Raw genomic sequence first — 19,910 nt, forward strand, 5'->3', positions numbered from 1 at the left:
TAGTTATTAATGGAATATTCATCTATTTCCCTATACGCACTGTAATCAACATTCCCATTCTCAAATGCACTACTTAAAGTATCTGAAGATCAGACACTTTAAGTAATTTAAATTTATGACAAAGTTTTCTGAAGATATAAGCAGATCCTGTTAGATACAGATGCACATACAATTCTTATGAACAATTTCATGCACTGTAGCATGATCAAAATATCTGACCAGAGCCTGTCACTGCACCTTGTAGACATTCTTACAAACAGCTCTTATCTAATCCTCATAACCCATCACCTGTCACCCATAAGGGACAACTAAACCATGGATCCACATGATTACTGAAGGCTTGTTTCTTCATTGGCTGCAGGAATCTCATGAAAATCATGTCTTCATATATAGCAAAACTTTGGGCTTATGCATCCTTCTAGGAAGAATAAGCAGTTAATGGGCATGAAAGGCCTTTGAACCCTATGTAGCCCTGCACGTGTGCAAGCTGCTCTTTTAAGTGGACAGCAAAAGACAGTGGCAGACGTCAGGCTGGGCTCCAGATCCAGCTCTACCTTAATAGTCAGGTGATCTCTATCAGGTCATTTGTATTCTCTGAACCTCAGGTTTCTTGTCTGCCAATGGAAATTATAATAATGCCTGCCCTGCTGTGAAGTTCAGATGAGCTCATGGATGTGAACACCTTCTGAGGGTCACAGAGCGACACTTGAATGCCAGCCATCATTTGTTCACGTATATTAACTCTTACTTTCTACAACACTAGGAGATAGATATCATCCCCTCCTTTCACAGATGTGGAGACTCCAATGAGTAGACCTTTGAGGATCTGACCTTCCAACTCAAATCTCCCCATCCAATGCTCTTCCCCTCTGTGCTCAGGCACCATCCTCGGCTCCCATCCCTGCTCACAGCTGCATCATGTGCATACTGTGAGCATCACATTGTATAGTCTTACCTTAAGTCTGGGGTCCAATCAGTTGTCAAGAGCCACACACTGGGAAGAGGGAGATCAAGGAAAACCAGCCAAGCTCCTCCCAATATGAGGATGTTTGCCAAGTTCCAGGGAGCACCTGCTACCCCCAGCCCTGGGTGAAGTAAGCACTGGAGAGAACAGACAGGATACAATGGCATTGCCCTGAGAAGGCTTTTTATCTGGCTGAGGCAAGGACTTAGAGACACAGGTAAGCAACAGTCAAGTACAAAACAGCACATGGTTAGGTGCCAGGTGAGTGAGGAGACCAGATGGACATTTCAGGTACTCCATGTAAAGACACTGGCAATTTCTGAAGCTCCTTGTGGCCCCAAGAGGCCCAAAAGCTGTCTCAATCTGGGAAGACACCAAATCTGTATGATCTCTCCTTTTTCCTTAACCCCACTTCTCAGGTCCTCCTCTCAGCCCTGTTCCTTCCTGTCCCCAAAGCTCTGCCTTATCCTCTTCCCCTCTAACCCAGTGCTGTCCAATGGAGATAGAATGTGAGCCATGTAAGTAATCTTAAATTGTGTAACACACATATTAAAAAGAGAAACAGGTGAAATTAATCTTAATATATTTAATTCAACCCAGCATATTCTAAATGAAATTATTTCATCATGTAATCAATATTTTAAAAATGATTGAGAATTGTACATTCTTCACATCAAGCTTTCAAAATCTGGTGTGTGTTTTATCCTTACAGCACATCTCAATTCAGACCAGCCACACTCCAGTGCTCGACAGCCACCTGTGGCTCACGGCCTGTACTGGACAGTGCAGCTGGAACCCAATGGGTGGGTTCTCTCCACCCTGTGCCTTCAACCCATTCCTGTCTCCCCACTCCAGCCTGCTTACTTCATCCAGGGCCTTGCTGTCTCTTGCCCACACCCAAGCTACAGCCTTTGAACTTCCCAACCACCCTGCACACTGCTGGCCAAGCCCCACATAGAAGTCATCTGTGACCCACCAGTGCCTCTCCATTGCACACATAATTCAGGCCCTTCACAATCATCACTGATGGACCCTGTGAGCACCCCTCCCCATCCACCCACCATGCCCCTAGATCCCCCATGACTGCCTACTGTTGGGGGAGCCCACCACACTTTCCTTCCCAGCCTGTGCTCACCCTGCTCCCTCTGCCACAATCCAATTTCCCTCATGATGCCCTGCCCAGTGGCCACCTTCTCCAGGAGCTCCTTCCCCATCTTTCGATTCGAAATCACTTACGCCATCCTTAGAGTCCTCAAACCAGTTCATCCACCCCCTCTGGCCCTAATTTCGTCTGCACATCTAGGGGTAGATTATCTCTGGGATCTTTAAGAAAAGACCTTCTAACTTGATCATATCTCTCTCTGTCTTGTAGATGATTTTTTAAGGTCCCACTTATGTCCCTCACTCATCTACAGGCTCCATGAAGTCAGATATCAAACATTTCCATTGCTACATTCTCCAGGCCTAATCTGCATCCTCCCAGAGTGGCTCTTCAGTGAACATCTACTGAATTGAACAGACATGCACAGAGCAGATGGACAGCACTAGGGACTTGTCCTCTGGCCCCAGAGGCCCATGAAAGAGTATCCAGGCAGGCTGGACTATGCTGGGAAGGGGGAAGGCCTGGGCCCTCATCGAAAGGGAAGGACCCCAAAAGGAAGAGAAACCCATCAACATCCTGTTAACTAAACGGAGAGAAATGCTGTTTAGGGGAAAAAAAAAAAAACATAATAAATAAAATTCCTGAGAGAAGCTGCTAAGTCAGGGAGCACCACACTCATCCCCTTCTGCAAGAGAATGAGAAGATGGAGCTACAGCTCCCGTCCCACATCAGCATCTGGTGTGGCCTTCCCGCCACGGGCCATGGGTCGGACCTGGCTCCACAGACAAAGGGGCTGCTTAGGCTGGGCTTGAAATAGGCTGAGTGAAAACCTGCGAGCCCCTGGCTGCTTCCCTGTGCATGGAAAGGAGCTGTTGGTGAGTATGGAGATCTCTGCCCTTGTCAGAGGAAGGCTTCCTCATCACAAGGCAGGGCAGGTGTCTGTGCCCAAGAGCTGAGCAGAGAACAAGCAGCCAGTGGAGGCTTTCGCCTGAACTGTGCAATCCTTACCTGATTGGGAAGTGCAAGTGACAATTAATAAATTAATAGCGAGTCACTTTATGTAAATACCTCTCTTTTTGTACACTATATTTAGAGAAACAAACTGCTTTGGCATTTAGAGATAAATTTTATGTAAGAGTTTATTGCTGCTTCTGCTGTTGTTACTGTTCATCATCCAGATAATAAAAGCAAACTAGAAATACTCAAATGCCAGTACCACCTCCAATATATAAAATATATCCTAGGCCCCTTTCAGTCATCACATTCTTAACTTTTAGGAAGAGCCCTTGTCATAATCTGATGCTTGACAAAATGTTTTCCATCCTTGCATCACCCCCACCCCCGCTTCCCCACTAGGATTTTGCAAGTGCATTTAACTGTAACAATCTTGAGGGAACACTAACTCACTGGGTGGCATTGGGCCAGCCTCTACTGTGCTGGGTCTCACCAGCTGGATTCAGCACCTCTCAGTTTCTCTCCCATTGTGGAGACTTTTTCAGCTCCATGAGTCCATAACCTGTGATCCCATTAGGAAACAATGCAGTTGCTAGAATTTCATGTCTGTAGGGAACACATCCACTTCTGGCTGAACTGTCCCTAAAATGCTGCTAACACAGAGCTTCCAAACTTTCAAGCCTCAATAATGGCTCCAAGGAATTCAGTGTTTTCTTCTGCACCAAATGAATGCTGGAGCTACAGGAAGGGCCCTGGACAAGCCTTAGTTGGCTTGGTTTAAAGAAGGAACTTGACCTACTGCCTTCTTCCTGTTTTCCCTTGCAGTGGCCTCCAGGGCCACTGTCTCTGGGCCTCTCCCCAAACCCCTACCACTATGTTATCACCACCCTGAGAGTCCAGGCCCTTGGGTGGCCCACAATTGCTCACCATGCCTGGCCTTTCTCCAGCCCTCTCTCTCCTTGCCTGCTGAGAAGCTCCTTCTTATAGGAAGCTGCTCTCAGGTAGGGAGTAGCCACACTCAGGCATAATACTTCCTAAAGAATTTAAGTGCAGATGTCCTATAGAAGGAAAAAATCAACTAAGCTTCCGAAGAAAGTAAAGTAAATAGTAGAACTTGTGGGATCAATGATAAACGGAGATGGAACTGTTTTATGGCATGAAAACCTTCCAGCACAAAATTTTTGGATTTGGATGTGTCTCTACTTTTTTTTTTTTTTCCAACCATGTGGTCTTGGGAAATTTATTTAACCACTGTGAAATTCAGTGTCTATGCCTATAAAATGGCTATGGAGTCACTGATCTACCCCCACAAGATAACATGAAAGTGCTTGCAAACTGTAAAGCTCAGCACAGACCTCAATGTCCATGCCCTGCCCCCAGCACCCTGCCTCCTCCTCTGCCAGGGTGTCATCTTCATCTCAGCCCTGACACTCAGAGCCCTGGAAAGAAGAGGGAGGGATGTACACCGGCGCTTTCCCTTCCAGCCTTCCCATACTGCATCCCCTCCCCACCTCCCAACTCACCACAGGGATTTCCAAATGTTGCTTTGTGTGTGCGGATTTTTCCCCCCAAGAACACTCCAAATTTCTGGAATCCACAGGCTGAATTTCACCACAGGGTTTCTGACACCGCCTATGAAAGGACAACGGGACTCTGTGCCAGGGCGGAAGGGAGGAGGGTCTGTGTGGAGTTTTCTACGTCATGGTTAAAATCAGGGGACCTGGGGATCTTGCTTTTTTTCCCTCCCTATCCAAAAACATGTCCCTTCTGACAATATTCACAGAATCTCTCAGCTCCCCCTACCCAAAGACTGGGCAGTGTGATGACAGGCTTGGTCCAATTTTACAATCAAGCAGCACTTGGAATGGGGCTATTCCCACACATGAAGGCCAGTCAGAAGACACCCCACCAGCCCCAAAAAGAGTGGACACACTAATTTATGTAAAGGTAGACATTTCTGGTCATTGCCAAAGATGAATATTTTATAAAGGCATAACTTCTTGGGAATTATTCTAGTTATTTCTAGGTACCATTAGCCTCATATAATAACAATTTGTTCCCAAATAAGTTTAGGAATTTTTCCAAAGATGCTAACATAGAAATAAGAGTGAATAAAACAAAGCCGATTTATAGGCTACCAGAACATTGTAAAGAGAGGGGCCATCACACTGATTGAGCCCCACTCTGATGAATTAAGTAATGTACCCTGTGTGACAACATAACAGACCAATGAGGTTAGAACCAGTTCTTCTAATCCAGGCCAGCTCCTGGCTGGTTGAGAATGAAATGGCAATAAAATAATATAAACTAAAACATAATTATTAGCCAAAAATAAAAGGCAACTTTAAAACTGGTTAAAAACGAAATGTCTACTTAAATCCAACTAGCAAACAAACACATAGAAATTAAAATTGAGAAAAAGCAATGGAAGATGCAAATTTTAGACAGGTAGAGTAAATGTTAACAGGAAATCCTTTAAGTTGTCCACTGATCTAGAATTTTTATTATCAGTTCTAGGGACCCTAGGGGTTATAATTCTGAGGTGGAAGTGATTTTATGTTGGGAAAACAAAAGTCAGAGGCAAAACAATAACAAAATTCTGGGGTGTGTTACAAATTAAAGTCAGAAGTAGATCTGTAACCTCATTTTTGGTGAAAATGAGAAAGCAGGATAAATAAAGAAAATACTTCCTTTCCCCTCCTCACAAAGGGAACAAAATACCAGTTACAAGAAAAACAAAATAATTAAGAGAATTCCTGAACCAGGTAAAATTTCCAAGTTTAGGGCACACGGTTATGTGCCTGTAGTCCCAGCTGCTTGGGAGGCCAGAAGATTGCTTGAGCCCAGGAGGCTGAGGCCAGCTTGGGCAAGAAGCAAGAGACCCTATCTCAAAAAACATTCCCTGTTTGCCTAGGGTCAGTGTCCAAGCCAAGTTGCTACAGGGTGAAGCCCTTATAGTGGATCTGAATGGCAAGCTGAAGACAGATGTCCTGTGGGTGTTCTTCACTGGCAGGGTGTAGGAGTGGTGAGGACTGAGGAGTCTGGGAAGAAAGATCCCATTGTAAGGACTTGCAGCCCATAGATATTCGCCTCCCCTGCCACCCACTTTTTCTGCTCTAGCCTCTTGGGCTAGCAGAGTATGACACTAACCATGAGGATTGAGCTTCATACTTATCCAACAAGTACAGATGCTCCTCAACTTACCATGGTGCTACATCTCTATATGCCCATTGTACGCTGGAAATATTGAAAAGTTGAAAGTGCAGGCCAGGCGCCATGGCTCATGCCTGTAATCCCAGCACTTTGGGAGGCCGAGGTGGGCGGATCACGAGGTCAGTAGATCAAGACCATCCTGGCTAACACGGTGAAACCCCGTCTCTACTAAAAATACAAAAATTAGCTGGGCGTGGTGGCACATGCCTGTAATCCCAGCTACTTGGGAGACTGAGGCAAGAGAATCGCTTGAACCCAGGAGTCAGAGGTTGCAGTGAGCCAAGATGGCGCCACTGCACTCCAGCCTGGTGACAGAGTGAGACTCCGTCTCAAAAAAAAAAAAAAAAAAAAAAAAAAAAGGGCATTGAGTCCACCTAACCTACCAAATATCATAGCTTAGCCCAGCCTACCTTAAATGTGCTCAGAACACTTACATTAGCGTACAATTAGGCAAAATCAAAGCCCATTTTATAATAAAGTGTTGAATAGCTCTTGTTATTTATTGAATATTGTACTGAAAGTGAGAAACAGAATGGTTGTATGGGTACTTGAAGTACAGTTTCTACTGAAAGTGAACTTCACACCATTATAAAACTGAAAAATCATAAGTTGAATCATTATAAGTCAGAGGTGTCTATAATTAAGATAATTCCTGAGTCCTCCCCAAATGTTCCCAGTTTGATTAGGGTAGGTGTCCAAACCAGATTGCCACAGAGTAAAGATTTTTCTTACTGAGCACTGTCAGCTTAATGCACAGTTTACCCCTGGACCTCCCAAGGCCCAGCTTCCAAGTGGCCAGAGGCGAAGCTCTTCTAGAAAAAGAAAGGAAGAAAATTGCATGGGCTGCCTCAGATGTCCAGAACTCCAGAACAATGAAAATGAGACTGAAATGAAACTCACAGTAACCCAACACAGATCTTACAGTTAAAGAATTCTTGCTGTAGAATTTTCAACTACGATAAAGTTGAGAATGTGGCTCAACTTTAAGCATTATAGTAGTAAATCCCAGGGATCTAGACTTTCAATTTTCTTTATCAGATTTGTCCAAAATCATGCTAAGTACCTAAAGAAAAGAACAATGTGTATATGACATAGTGGTGTCCTTGAAACTAAAAAATTACAAGTTATGGAATAGAATGGAGTTGTATAACAGAAAATGTTCTTTTTTAAATTCATTGGCCAGTAACATAGAATTTTGAACCTGGAAGAAACCTTAATATGAGACCCAGGTTTAGGATAATGATACCATCTAACAAAATGAGACACAGGGCTTTGGAAGGGGCCAGGGCAATGAGAGACCTGAAAGTACAAGTGTTTTTAACTTCGTGGTGTATCTACTATAAACACATCACTGTGTAATTCCTCTGAATCGTTGTTTACTGCATTTCATTGAACCATAGGCTTTTAAACCTGGAAATATGAACTAGCTTGCCCATGACCATACAGGTAGTTGTGGGGAAAGTCTGGGGTCAAGCTCAGTCTTTTGAATCCAAACCCAGAACTGTTTTCCCTACTCCCACTACATTTCCAATGACTCTGCATGCACCACTAATCATCCAAAAGCAGCTCGTATTTTTGGTTTCGGGTAGTCAGGTCTTAATTATCTAGCATCTTGAAAGAATAAACATGAGTAACATTTAGAAGTAAAGTCACCTAGGACTTAGTCCAGCCCTAAGGCCAATGGGTGATCCATGGTGCCATATGCCAGGCTTGTTACTGCCCAGATCTCTCCTGTTTGTGTTCATCACTGCTCTCCATTTCTTTCAGAATCAAGCGCCAGGGCTAATTAAACTCCTGAGTAAAGCCAAGGCACCATTAGGGGCTCAGTTGGTGAGCTGGCTGGTAGAAAACACAAAGCAGTCTCCTGTGTTTGATTTCCACAGACACTGGGATTAAATGAGTAGAGCCATCTAATGTTCTCACCCCCCAAATCATGCATGCATGCATTCACTCATCCATCCATTCACTAATTCATTTGACATTGTTCTTTTTTTTTTTTTTCCTTTGAGGCAGAATCTTGCTCTGTCATATAGTGGCATGATCTCAGCTCACTGCAACCTCTGCCTCCGGGGTTCAAGCGATTCTCAAGGATCCAGTGTCTTCAGGATCCAGGGTCCACAGGTCCCTTGGGGCCAGGCTCAGCCCAACAGACAGATGCGTGTTCTTCACAGGCACTAGTTCAGTTGAAATAGTGGCTCTCTGCCACATCAGACTCAGTGTCCCTTCTTATAACACAAGACTCCGTCTCAGAAAAAACAAACAAATGAAAACAAACCAACAACACATAACTTGTAACTCTCCTTTTGTTATGCTCAAATGAAACCCATAGATAATATATCTACCTACACATAAAATTTCCTCCCAAAATTCATAATATAAAAAAAAAATGGAATACACTCACTGGGTTATAATCAAGAAAGAAAGAAAAGCAATTTTATAGAAAAATAAGTATTTCAGTATCTAAAAAATCTTGTACATGACTACACTGGAAATCCTACTAAGTAGTTAGATGTCTGCACCTATGTGTAGAGTCGCCATGAATGCAATAGATTTAAATGCACACAGAGTCACATGTGTTTTTAGTATGGCTCAAACACTGTGATTACCATTGCCATTTGTAACATGATTTTCCAAAATGGTGAACAATCTTCATAAAGTCCTGAACAAATATGTACCATCTTCACTCTATGCTGCATTCCTGAAAAATTCAGTGTATTTTAAAACTGCAAAAAATAAATCCTGTGTGTTTATATATAAAATGGGGTTGGATGCTAGATCCACCTATGTATAAACAAGTTTTCATGGACATAAACATTGAGCAGGACATTTGAAAGTGATGAGGGACAGTCACTTGTGATGTGGATGGTCCTGACCACTGCAGAGCATCTGACATCCCCCCCTACCCATCCACTAAATGTCAATGGCATCCCACATTCACCGTCGTAACAAACTGTGATAGTAACAAATGCCTCCACAAATTTCCAAAGATAGCTCTAATGGGTGGAACCACCCTCACTGGGAATCCTGAGTTACAGGGCAGGGGTGTGTGTGTGTGTGTGTGTGTGTGTGTGTGTGTGTGTACATGTGTGTGTACGTTAAGTGTGACTTCCAACAGCTGGAGTTGAGAGTCATCTGATCCCCCTATTGCTCCCTGTGATGGTTAATTTTATGTGTCAACTTGACTGGGTCATAGGGTGCCCAGATATTTGGTCAAACATTTTTCTGGGTGTGTTGGGGAGGGTGTTTCTGGATGTGATTCACATCTAAATGGAATGAGTTGGAGTAAAGCAGATTGCCCTCACCAATGCAAGTGGCCTCAAAAAATCAGCTGAAGGCCTGAATAGAGCAAAAAGTTTACTGTCCCACAAGTAAGAGAATTGCTGCTGCCTGACTGGCTTCAAGCTAGGATGCTGGCTTCTTCCTGCCTTCAGATACAAACTGAAACATTGGCTCTTCCTGGGTTGTGAGCTTGCTGGTCCTCAGACCAGGCCTACACTCTCGTAGGTCTCCAGCTTGCCAACTTACCCTGCAGACTTTGGGATTTGTCAGCCTACATAATTGCATGAGCCAATTCCTTATAATAAATCTCTTTCTGTATACAACCTATTGGTTCTGCTTCTCTGAAAAACCCCGACTAATACACTCCCACACAAGTCTGAGCCATGTTCTTGCCCTGGCCTGCCTCCTCCCTTCTCGTCACTGACTCTGGGATGCCGAGCTCTTGGCCACAACAGCCCTTGGTTCACACTGAGATGGTCTGGAGCACTCTAACAGGAGGCTACTGCTTCACACATAGGGCCCCACTCCAGACTCAGCAGGAGCCAGGCAATGGCAAACCAGAGGGGCAGGAGACACTAAAAAGGCACCCTCTGAGAGCTGACTGCCCCCAGGATTTCCACCCCTTTTCAGTGTCTATTTGGATAGTAAGGCTAGGGGCCTTTTGAGAAACAGCAGAAGACATGGGTATTAGTAGTGCCCCCCAAGAGGTATAATGGGAAGGCCAGCAAGGCCAGGGCCACTGATGGAGGGAAATTTTACAAGGTAAACATGTATAGAGAACTCCCTTCAAATACCACCGGGGATGAAGAAAGTTTCCCAGTGGAGAACCATCTGTCAGTGGGCAGAGGGTGCTGCTGGTATGAAACTGATCACTCCTCTTCAGCGAGTGAATCCTGTGGTCAGGAAGCAAGATCTCAGAAAGAAATTGTAAGGGCACTGCCCTCTATCACACTTTCACTCATTCAAAAATGTATTGAACATCTACTACATGCCAGGTATGCATGAGGTTCTGGGAGTATTAGATGAGCAAGATACAGGAGTATTCCCAAGGAGTTCACAGCCTAACAGGGAGACAGACAGGGAGCGACAGGCCATTGTGAAATGACCAGATATACACCAGGATGGGTAAATACAATTACAGTGGGAGCACACAGTCGGAGCAGCTAGCCCTCCCTGGGATGTGGGGCTGGAGGGCTCCCCAGAAGGGACATCAGATGTGTGTTTTAAAGAATAAAGTCAGCCAGTCAGAGAAGGGGAGAAGAGGAAAACAGGCAGAGAAATGAGCATGATAGTGGCAAGGAGCAGGGAGGGAGCAGGCACCTCCCGGAAGCTGGAAGAAGGAACGTGAGGCACAAGGGCGGAATGGTGAGAAACAGGGCAGAGAGAGAGTAGGCAGGGGTGGGGTTGTGGAGAGCCCTGTGTATGAACATATCACATGGACCGAAGAATCGAGTCTGGGCTCACAAACTAGCAGACTGGGAGTAGAAGGTGCACTTGGAGAAGTGGCACAGCGACATCGTTGAGGTGTGTTGTGGACCCAAACTAAGGTGCAGGACAGAAAGGAAGAGGAGGAGAGAAGGGGCATAAGAAATGTCAAGTGAGGAAAGGATTTATACACATACACCTGTAAACATGCACAACTGATCAGTAAAATATGAAAAAATCTTGCTATCATTAATAAAGTGATAAAAAATAAAATGATATGGTACCTTCTTCTGTCGTACATGGAGTTACACCACTGGTACTTGGCCCTTTGAGTCTAGAGCTCCAAAGAGAGCCCTGGGCAACAGGCAGGGTTTGGGTATGTGGTGGTCAGAGGCCTCGGCAGTGGATAAAATCACCAAGGAAGAGTCAACAGAGTGAGGATGTAGGGCACAACCCTGGAGAACACTAGCAGTTGGGTGCACAGAAGTTGAAGAACAGTTCAAGGAGGCTGAGAAGGAACAGTCGGAGAAGTAGGAGGAAAACCAAGAGAAAGTAGTGTCATGGAAGCTCAGAGAGGAAGGAATGTCAAGGAGGAGGAAGTGATGAAGAGCTTTGAAAGTTGCAGAGACTTCAAGTAAGATTGACCTTTAGACTGAAAAGTTTTCATTGTATTTTGCAAATAAGTCATCAGCGACCTTGGCAGGATGGGTTCAATGTTTGGTGGGAGAAGAAGCTACATGGCCGTGACGTGGCGAATGAATGAGGGATGAGGAAGCGCAGATGAGGAGTATAGCCACATTAAAGATGGCTGGTTGACTTTGGGAAGAATAAGGTTGTTTTGGAGTTGTAAGGAGACCCCCAGAATTGAGTTCCTGTTTTCTCCACCACAATTCTAAACCAATCGGGTGGTAGGATGAGAGCAAGGCAGATGGAGATCAAAACGTCAGCTTTATTAGGGATAAAGCTGACATTGGAAATGGTAACATTAAATGTTCAGCAACATTTTTTCCAAATGAGAAAGACAGACCCACTCATCACAGGCAGCACTGAACACCCGAGGCCTTCCTGCAGAGAGGCTGCCCCTGGAGAGCTGGAGCCACGTGAGAGTAGACTAGAATGAGAGCTTGCTGATAAGGCTGGCTACGAAAAGGAAAGAGGAGAGGTGAAGAAGATGAGTCAGCCAAGACATTCCTCCTCTCTGGGGAGAAGAAAAGGAGAAGCGGAAAGAGGACAAGGGGCATTTTAGGGAAATCTCTCCTCATGGAAATAAGGAATGGGGGCAAACCTGTAAATACTGACCCAGAAGGAGATAAGTATAGTTAGCATCTTTTTTTGCATCTTTGCAAGAGCATATGTATTTGTATGACCCAGAATGGTTATTTATGTGGTAGGACTGGATAGAATGGGGGCGAGTTCAGGGGGGCGCGACTTCTTGCTCTCTGTAAAGAAGAAAGGTACTGAAATCACACATGGCTTTACTATTTTTCACATTTGATTTTTAACACATACTGGTTAGTGACTTTTTGCAAATTATTATCATTACATAGCAACTCTATCTTATTCAGTGCTCTTTACATTTCATTTTGCTGGGTATTAACAGAGTAATTCTTTCCTGCTTTGTTATTTGCATTTGCCTGGTATTTTTTCTTGACTTTTTATTCTCAATTTTTATCACATTTGTTAAATGTGTTTATTTCTTGTATGTGTGTGTATATATATATATATACACACATACACACACACACATACATATATATATACAAGAAAGCATATAACTGTCTGCTTTTTATTTTACCAAATCTAATAGTCTCTTTTAAGAATAATTCTATTCACATTTAATAATACATTGAATTTTATTGCTTCTATTTTACTTAATATTTATTACTTATTTAAGCCCCCTTGATGTTCTTTATATTAATTAGTTATCAAGTTTCTGTTCAATTATTTTCTTTCTCTTCTTAATTTGGGAGCTCTAGTCTAGTTTTTCATTCTACCAGGTCCTTCTCCTTTTTGTCACTGGTAGTCAAACTCATTCTTTTATTCCATTATACCAACATAAGAGTCCAACTATTTCCCCAGATTCTCTCCTCTCCTGCTGTTCCTCCTCCCCCAGCATGAGGCCTTTAGGACGCTTTCACTTCCCACTCTCACACACCAATGTGAGACCTGTGGAAACTTCACTTCCCCTCTTTCTCCTTTAGAACTTTTTGTTCCAGGCTATTGTTAACATTTCCCTTGAAATATGTCTCTTCTATTTTCAGCAATTATATTACACATTCCTGAACTGTCTATTATTATCTGTCTGAATTTAACTGACGATGTGTTGTAAGGCTCCTTGCTCACCACTAATTTTTTTCTCCCTTTTCCTCCTCTTTCCATCCTGTAGCCTTTAAGCTGATTCATCTATTGTTTGGTTAGATCTTAACACCCTTTTATCTGGTGGAAGATATGGGTGACAGGTCTTTTCCTTGCATATTCTCAACTATGTTTCCTTGACCCTGACAGAGGAGTGGGGTCTTGCTACAGGATTCTTGGTGTGCAGTGTTTTTCTCTCAGTAATCTTCACACGATTGGCCTCAATCATCCCTACTTCAGGTGTCATAGAAGAGAAAGTTGATGCCCCCATGATCCTTCTTCCCCTATAAGTCACTTGTACTTTCTTTCTGGAAGACTGTAAGATTTTCTTTTCATCCTTAGACTTCTGGAATTTCTCAACCTATGAATCATTTGTCTTGCCCATAACTTGCCAAAACCTTCCAATAGGCAGACTCAGGCCCTTTCTTAACTTGGGAAATTTACTTCCTATTAACTACTACTTTTCTTTCCTTCAGCTACTGAATTTGTCTGCAGATCTTGTCATTTGGTTCCAGAAAGTCTTTTTGTGCTCTACTGGAATGTTTATGTCCTAACGTTAATATTTTAAATGTATTACTGTTCCCTAGTGGCTTGGTTTCATGTGAGCCTCTTCTAAGAGCATTGCTGTGCCCCCTAAGTATAAGGGTAATGTTTTCTTTTGTCTGCTCTCTGGGCTCAGGGCCAGCAGCTGAGGTGCCTTCTCAGAAGGGACAAAAATGGTGGTTCTCAATCCCCTATCAAGTCACTGGCGGGGAGACTCTCATTTTCCTGTTTTCTCACATCTCCCAGGCTCAGGAGTAGAGATAGACTCAGCACACCTGTACAACTCCCTTACCTCATCCAGCCAGATCCATCTGCCAGGATACTCACTGATGCCCAGATACTGGTGCCCTCTTATGATTACAGAATCGGGGGTGGTTTGGAGACCATGTGTTTACTCATACAGCTTTAAGAAAGTAGCACATGTTTAGGGTCCACAGTTTGACCTAAAAAGTCACATTTTCTAGAACTCAGCACTTTCTTGTTTCATTTGGAAAGGTGGTTTTAAAGGCTGAAGTTGGCCCTGGTGGAGGTCAGAGATCATACGTGGTTTCCATAGTGACAGAAGCCAGTGCAAGTCTTGGCAATAAAAGGTAAGCTTCTCTTAGCCGGGGCCACTCCTCTGGTCCCTGGCTTGAGTCTCCAGGCTCAGCAGATGGGGTGTCATCTTCTCCAGGCTTAATATTGGCAGGAATCCCTTTTGGTCACTCCCAACCAGTCTCTCTGGAGAGGTGAGGCATATCTATTCTAGCTTGTTACTCTGCCTTTGCAACCCAGGAATGAAAGGTCTTAGGCTATCAGGCCCCAAATTCACTTTTTTTTTAGGACCTATATGCACCTATTCACTGCAGAGATGACAGTTCCCCTACATGGTTTTTAGGAAATCATGTTCTTACATCATTGATCTCTTAAAATCCTCCTTAATCTGCTAGACCAGGCTTGGCTTTCTTTCCTGACTAGCTTACACATTCTAGCATTCAGTGTCTGCTCCAGGTTTGTTTTTAAGCCTTGGAGCCAAGTGCCAGTCTGAGCTGTTTTCCACTCCATCACTTTGAATCATTTCCCTGCTCTATTGTTTCACTTCCTGTCCATCATTTTGAGCATTCCTCAGTGGCCCAAGATGGGGGCCAAAAATTTCCTACTTTTGATAAACAGGGCATGGGTGAACGTTGATGAGGTTTCAACAATGTGACCTTGGGCAGATCACTTAAACCTCCTGAGCCCTGACTTCCTCATCTGTGAAATGCTTATAAAACCTGCCCTGCCCCGTTCACAGGCTTATTATGGAACTCAAATGACATGAGAAAGCACTTTGAAAACTGAAGTGCTCTACACATGTAAGGCTTTGTTTTATCTTTCAAAAACAGTGGCTCGAGTTCCATAAGTGGAGCTTTGCAGTATTAACTTACTTCTGTGGATTTTGCAGTTTCAAATTCATGAGCCATTCTCATGATTGCACAGAATCCACTCTTAGAGCTTCCTTTACATTTTCATTGTTTCTGAAAACAATCACTTTTTCATTTATTGAAAGGCCATCACTCCAGGTGAAAAAGGAAAAGATTTCTTTCTACAGCCTGTCACGGTTACAATTTAAAGCCTACTAATGTTGGAATGGCAGATTCAGGTGGTTGATGTGGTAGATGTGGAGATGTGGGGACCTGAGGGTCCCCCTTCAAGAAAGGACTGACTGCCTGGCTGCAGAGATTAAGATTAAAGCATGCTTCAGCTGCAGAGAGCCACCTGGCCCCAGGTCATACCTTCCCAGGGCATCCCACATCTGTCCTGTGACTGAGTGAGGTAGGTAAAAGCCCAGTCACTCTGGCCTGACACAGGACACTCTGATGAGCAATACACAATCCAGAGCTTCCCAGTGGGTTGGCTGAGGCTTTGCAGGGTTGGACTGTGCTGGATTTCTCCCTCTGCCCAATCCTGCTTCTCCTTCTTTCCTTCATAGGTGCTGATCCCTAATAACCATTTTGTACTCCAAATTCCATCTCAGCACTTGTTTCCAGAGAATCTGATCTGTGACAATTGGGTACACTACACTAGAAAGGTGGAGTGGGGTGGGGTGGGAGGGCATGTTTGTTGCAAAGAAGGAGAGAAAACAATGGGAAGTGGGGATTTGAAATGGCATCACCTTCACAACCACAGACAGCTCCACGTCAAACAATGAGTGGGCAACTCAAAGGTCTAAGACACTGCTACTACGATAGGCGGAAATCTGTTGTTACCAGCCCGACTTGGACCAAAATCTCACAACGGAAGCAATATCATCTATTCTTATTCCCAACCCTAGAGATAAGCAGATTTGGTGCTCTTACCTGGAAGCACCAAAGGCTAACTTCCAAGAAAATGCTAACAACACACTGTGTTTTATACAAAAACCCCTACTAGTATCAAGATTGGCTAAATGATCTAAATTTAGTCACGGTTCTGTTTTTCAACTACCTTTTTACATACAGATGAAAGAGAAAGTTACATTTTCTAGAACTCAGCACTTCCTTATTTCCAGGTGGTTTTAAAGGCTGAAGTTGGCCCTGGTGGAGGTCAGAGATCATACATGGTTTCCATAGTGACAGAAGCCACTGCAAGTCTTGGCAGTAAAAGGTAATCTTTTAAAATGAAAATCTGTCATCCATCTACCGACTCCTCCCCATCCCACACACACGTAAAACTCCTCATTTGTTTCCCATTGCTTTTACAGTAAAGGCCTCAGCCCTACAAGGAAGGTCCCACCCACAGAGTCTGGTCCCTGCCTTGGTTACAGCCTCATTTCACTCCCTCCTCCTTGCTCCTGACGCTCCATGTGGCACCGCATTGGCTTCTTACGGTTCCTCAAATAAGCCATGCCATCTCCTGCCATAGGGCCTTGAACGTGTTGTTCCTCCTCTCTGCAATTCTCCTCACCCCTATCTTCGCCTAGTTTACAACTCAGCTTCAGGTGCCAACACAAGCATCCTTTTCTCAGGGAAGCCTTCCCTGAACCACACATCCAACTCTAGGACAGGCTCTTCAGTGATATGATCTCAAGGAACTGCATTCCTTTCTTCCAGAGCATTTGTCTCGTGGCCGCATTTAGAATTGCACCCTCATGTCTAATATTGTTTGGTAAATCTGTCTCCCCACTCCAGGCTTCAGGAATGATGCCTGGCTTTGCTCTCCATGCTATTCCTGGCTCCTGGCACAGTTCCTGGCAGATAGTAGGCACCCAATTACCATTTGCTGAGTAAATGAATACATGAAAGAATAAAAGAAAGAAAAAAGGGAGAATTGCTGACTTTGGTTGGATGGTGTGAAGTTTCTTGGGGTTTAACAGTAGGAATGGGGAGTTAAAACCATAAGAGGCTGAGTGGAAGATGCATGTGGTGACAACTTTTAGGGTGGCTCTCTCCCTAATCACCAGTGTGGTGGAAGGGTGGTGGGGCAGTAAAACCATCAAAAGTCACAGTGTAGCTGTCAATCTCATCACTGAAGACAAGAATACCCAAGTGCCAGGCCAGGAAAATTATTTACTTCACAATCAGGAAGAAATGCTGTGGAACTAAAGTTGGGGTATATTCTTGAATTTGATTTTATTCTCCAGAGCCCTAAAGTTAACCAGCTGGAATCATTTTTAAGGACCATTCTATTTAACTTTTGGAAATGAAGCATCTGCCTTTTAATGGAAAAACTACTTCTCATTGTAAAGATAGCACACAATGTTCTTGGCTGCTTTGGTCTCCAAAAAAAGGGAATTGAGATATCTCCCTGTGTCCGCATTATATCCTGAGCCTCCTGTGTCAACAAAACAGGCCAGATTGATAGCTTTTTTTTTTTTTTAATAATAAGTAAAAAGTAGCAGCCCATTCTGTGAAGTATCAGGCAGGGCAGGCTATGCAGGCATATCTGCCTCTCAAGAAATCTCAAGAGGCTTAGGGATTCACACTGAAAGGCTCCATATAACCAACCTCAAAGCCATGGTATTCAGACGAGAACCCAAGTTTATCGTGCATTCAAAAGTTCTGTTCCTCAAAAAGCATCTACAAAGTGTGATTAGCTAATGAATCCATTAATCAAATATTCCTACTTGGCACAAGTCCCTGCTGTGAGAGGACAGTTAAGATAGGTCCCTGCCTTAAGAATATTGTAACCCAACTGAAGAAATAGGATGTGGAAGAACTAAGATGTCGATTAACAGCACAAGGCACAGAAGAACTAAAGTGTCAACTAACAGCACAAGGCACACACAGTGTAAGTCTCAGCCAGTTCATATGGCCCATATCCAACAATACCAACCCGTGTTGAACATTTATTATACAAGTGCTTTACAAGTATTTTCTTATTAAAGCTTCACAACCCTATGAAATAGATACAATTACAGTCTCTTTAAAGAACTTGAGTAGCATATCTAAAGTCATGCAGTTAAAAAACAGTTTCAAGGTCAGGTCTGATTCCAAAGCCCAGGTGCATAACCACAGAGCCCCTGCAGCTTGTAGAGCTCACAGTGCTTGGGACTGGCCTAGGAAGTCAAGGCTAGATGAGGAAGGGTACTCGGAGTTAGGCCTTAAAGTGGGCAACACTGAAATAGGCCAGTGATGGAGATAGGTCACTGTGTGGCACTGCGGTGGAAAGAGGGTTGGAGAGAGAAGATAGAGGAGAAGAGGAAAGAGGGCAGAGCATGGCAGCTGCTTGGGCACAGCCACTTTAGGGTGAGAGATGAGTGAAGATGTCTACCTTGTAGGCCATATCAACATGTCCCCCTTCTTCTGTGAAAAATGCCATCATCCCACACAGGAAGAGTTGGAGAGGGATCTGACAGTGGAGTCTGGTAGGAAAGGAGTCTGGCTTTTCATTTGCGCTTCCTTCTGCCCCTCTTGCCCCAGAGCAATATCCCAGGCTTTCCACCAACCCAGCCCACGGGGTGGCCATGCTACAAGCCTTTTGAGTCCTGCATCCCAAGAGGGGCAGCTTCTTGGCCTGAAGTTGTCTAATAGAGCCTGCCTGGCTCCAAGCAGGCCTCATCTCTGCTCTGTCTACTGGATCTGGGCTCTGAACTGGGGTGGGAGGTGGGGAAATGGGGAGGCTGGTTCAGGCTACCACTTCCTCTCCTCACCATTGGATAGCCAGCCTTTCAAGGAAAGTAGGGGGCCAGTTCTGTGGCATAGAACAGTATAGTTCTTAGGCCCTCCTATTTCAGAAAAACACTCAAGCAGTGTTTTCCCTCTGCTCTCACACCACGACAACAGTCATCAACACAGAAGACTTCTGCGACCAAATGTAGGGGATTTTCCCCCACACACCAAGCAGCGGGCACCAGCTGGGTGTCCTCCAACTCAGTTCCAACACTATCTACCTGGAAAGAGTGTCTGATCCCACAGGTTGAGGGCTCAGTCAGATTAAGAGATACATACGCGACGTCTGGAAGATCCCGAGCACAGGACCTTCCGTCCTGATAGGATAAGTTCTTCTTCACCTTCCTGTTTGCCTCCACGTGTTCAGCCCTCCAGAAACTCCCTGAACCCTGTCCTTTGGGCCTTTTATGGAGATTTCATTTGTTGTCCATGACTGAAGCATGTGATTGAACAAAATGTGATTGGACAAAAAGGGTATGATCTAATCTCAGCAAGGTCTGTCTGTCCAGATTCTTCTTCCTCTCTTTGTGCAGCATTCCTTCCTCCAGGGTATGGGGCATGACCTCCTCTGGAATGAGGGTCTTATGACCCACAATCAGATTATAGAGTCCCGCCTTGGGTGGATGAAAGGAGGGCAAAGAAGGCCAGAGAAATATTCTGTTTCCTGAGGCCTAAAGCACCTCTACATTATAGCAAAAGACCTCAGCAAGTGTCATGGGAGTTATGGACAAGAACCATGGACAAAAATCTATATACATGTAATCATAAGATCACACCCCCCACCACACACCACATTGTTCTACATAGAAGTGCCTTCACTATACAGCTTTTCATTTATTCATTCGTTCATTCACTCATTTATTCAACGGGTAATAGTGAATTCCAAATCAGGAACTGTGCTATGTGTTGGGGGTGACATGGCCCCTAGCCTCAGGAGGCTTCTATTCCATGGTTAATGGTGGGTATT

At 44.2% G+C, this 19,910-nt stretch overlaps 1 protein-coding gene and 1 long non-coding RNA gene across 4 annotated transcripts in view, besides 14 other annotated features; one reads left to right on the plus strand and one right to left on the minus strand.

Annotated features, from left to right (window-relative positions):
* The window catches only part of CYP19A1 (cytochrome P450 family 19 subfamily A member 1), a 130,540-nt gene extending 111,216 nt beyond the window's left edge, over positions 1-19,324 (minus strand). The window contains exons 1-2 of one of the 3 annotated variants that reach the window (NM_031226.3): positions 19,223-19,324; positions 4,544-4,652 (exon numbers count right to left, since the gene is read on the minus strand). The gene's annotated coding sequence lies outside the window, so the exon portion shown is untranslated. Of the gene's footprint in view, positions 1-4,543; positions 4,653-19,222 lie in introns of those variants that run through there. The other 2 variants (NM_000103.4, NM_001347248.1) reach the window with 2 other exon arrangements.
* LOC112268146 (uncharacterized) lies at positions 656-3,273 on the plus strand. Its single transcript, XR_002957708.2, has 2 exons — positions 656-1,767; positions 2,337-3,273. It is a non-coding gene; the product is annotated as an uncharacterized LOC112268146 (long non-coding RNA).
* Positions 9,842-10,042: a silencer, noted in NCBI's record as "fragment chr15:51621311-51621511 (GRCh37/hg19 assembly coordinates)". NCBI's record gives its function as "represses an EF-1alpha promoter that drives an FKBP-Casp9 reporter gene in an ReSE screen in K562 erythroleukemia cells {active_cell/tissue: K562}" and the evidence as "EXISTENCE:reporter gene assay evidence [ECO:0000049][PMID:32094911]".
* Positions 19,249-19,567: a promoter, noted in NCBI's record as "-242 to +76 promoter". NCBI's record gives its function as "drives expression in placental cells" and the evidence as "EXISTENCE:reporter gene assay evidence [ECO:0000049][PMID:2171939]" and "EXISTENCE:transgenic organism evidence [ECO:0001131][PMID:15677755]".
* Positions 19,249-19,718: a mobile genetic element.
* Positions 19,249-19,826: a promoter, noted in NCBI's record as "-500 to +76 promoter". NCBI's record gives its function as "drives expression in placental cells" and the evidence as "EXISTENCE:reporter gene assay evidence [ECO:0000049][PMID:2171939]" and "EXISTENCE:transgenic organism evidence [ECO:0001131][PMID:10200304]".
* Positions 19,249-19,910: part of a biological region, named in NCBI's record as "CYP19A1 promoter I.1", that runs on past the window's edge. NCBI's record gives its function as "regulatory_interactions: CYP19A1".
* Positions 19,348-19,353: a TATA box. NCBI's record gives the evidence for it as "COORDINATES:motif similarity evidence [ECO:0000028][PMID:2171939]".
* Positions 19,404-19,408: a CAAT signal. NCBI's record gives the evidence for it as "COORDINATES:motif similarity evidence [ECO:0000028][PMID:2171939]".
* Positions 19,487-19,508: a protein binding site, noted in NCBI's record as "-183 to -162". NCBI's record gives its function as "mediates induction by retinoids" and the evidence as "EXISTENCE:protein binding evidence [ECO:0000024][PMID:9528950]".
* Positions 19,488-19,567: an enhancer, noted in NCBI's record as "-242 to -166". NCBI's record gives the evidence for it as "EXISTENCE:reporter gene assay evidence [ECO:0000049][PMID:1372865]".
* Positions 19,494-19,517: a protein binding site, noted in NCBI's record as "NRE". NCBI's record gives its function as "positive regulation of promoter activity" and the evidence as "EXISTENCE:protein binding evidence [ECO:0000024][PMID:21757507]".
* Positions 19,497-19,514: a protein binding site, noted in NCBI's record as "HARM-a". NCBI's record gives the evidence for it as "EXISTENCE:protein binding evidence [ECO:0000024][PMID:1517227]".
* Positions 19,519-19,536: a transcriptional cis regulatory region, noted in NCBI's record as "ERE-208". NCBI's record gives its function as "mediates induction by estrogen/estradiol" and the evidence as "EXISTENCE:site-directed mutagenesis evidence [ECO:0005528][PMID:19299445]".
* Positions 19,542-19,566: a protein binding site, noted in NCBI's record as "GC box". NCBI's record gives its function as "important for promoter activity" and the evidence as "EXISTENCE:protein binding evidence [ECO:0000024][PMID:9817601]".
* Positions 19,601-19,630: a transcriptional cis regulatory region, noted in NCBI's record as "-305 to -275 estrogen site C2". NCBI's record gives its function as "mediates induction by estrogen" and the evidence as "EXISTENCE:site-directed mutagenesis evidence [ECO:0005528][PMID:12839940]".

Source organism: Homo sapiens, chromosome 15 (genome assembly GCF_000001405.40).
Source record: "Homo sapiens chromosome 15, GRCh38.p14 Primary Assembly".
Taxonomy (NCBI): domain Eukaryota; kingdom Metazoa; phylum Chordata; class Mammalia; order Primates; family Hominidae; genus Homo; species Homo sapiens.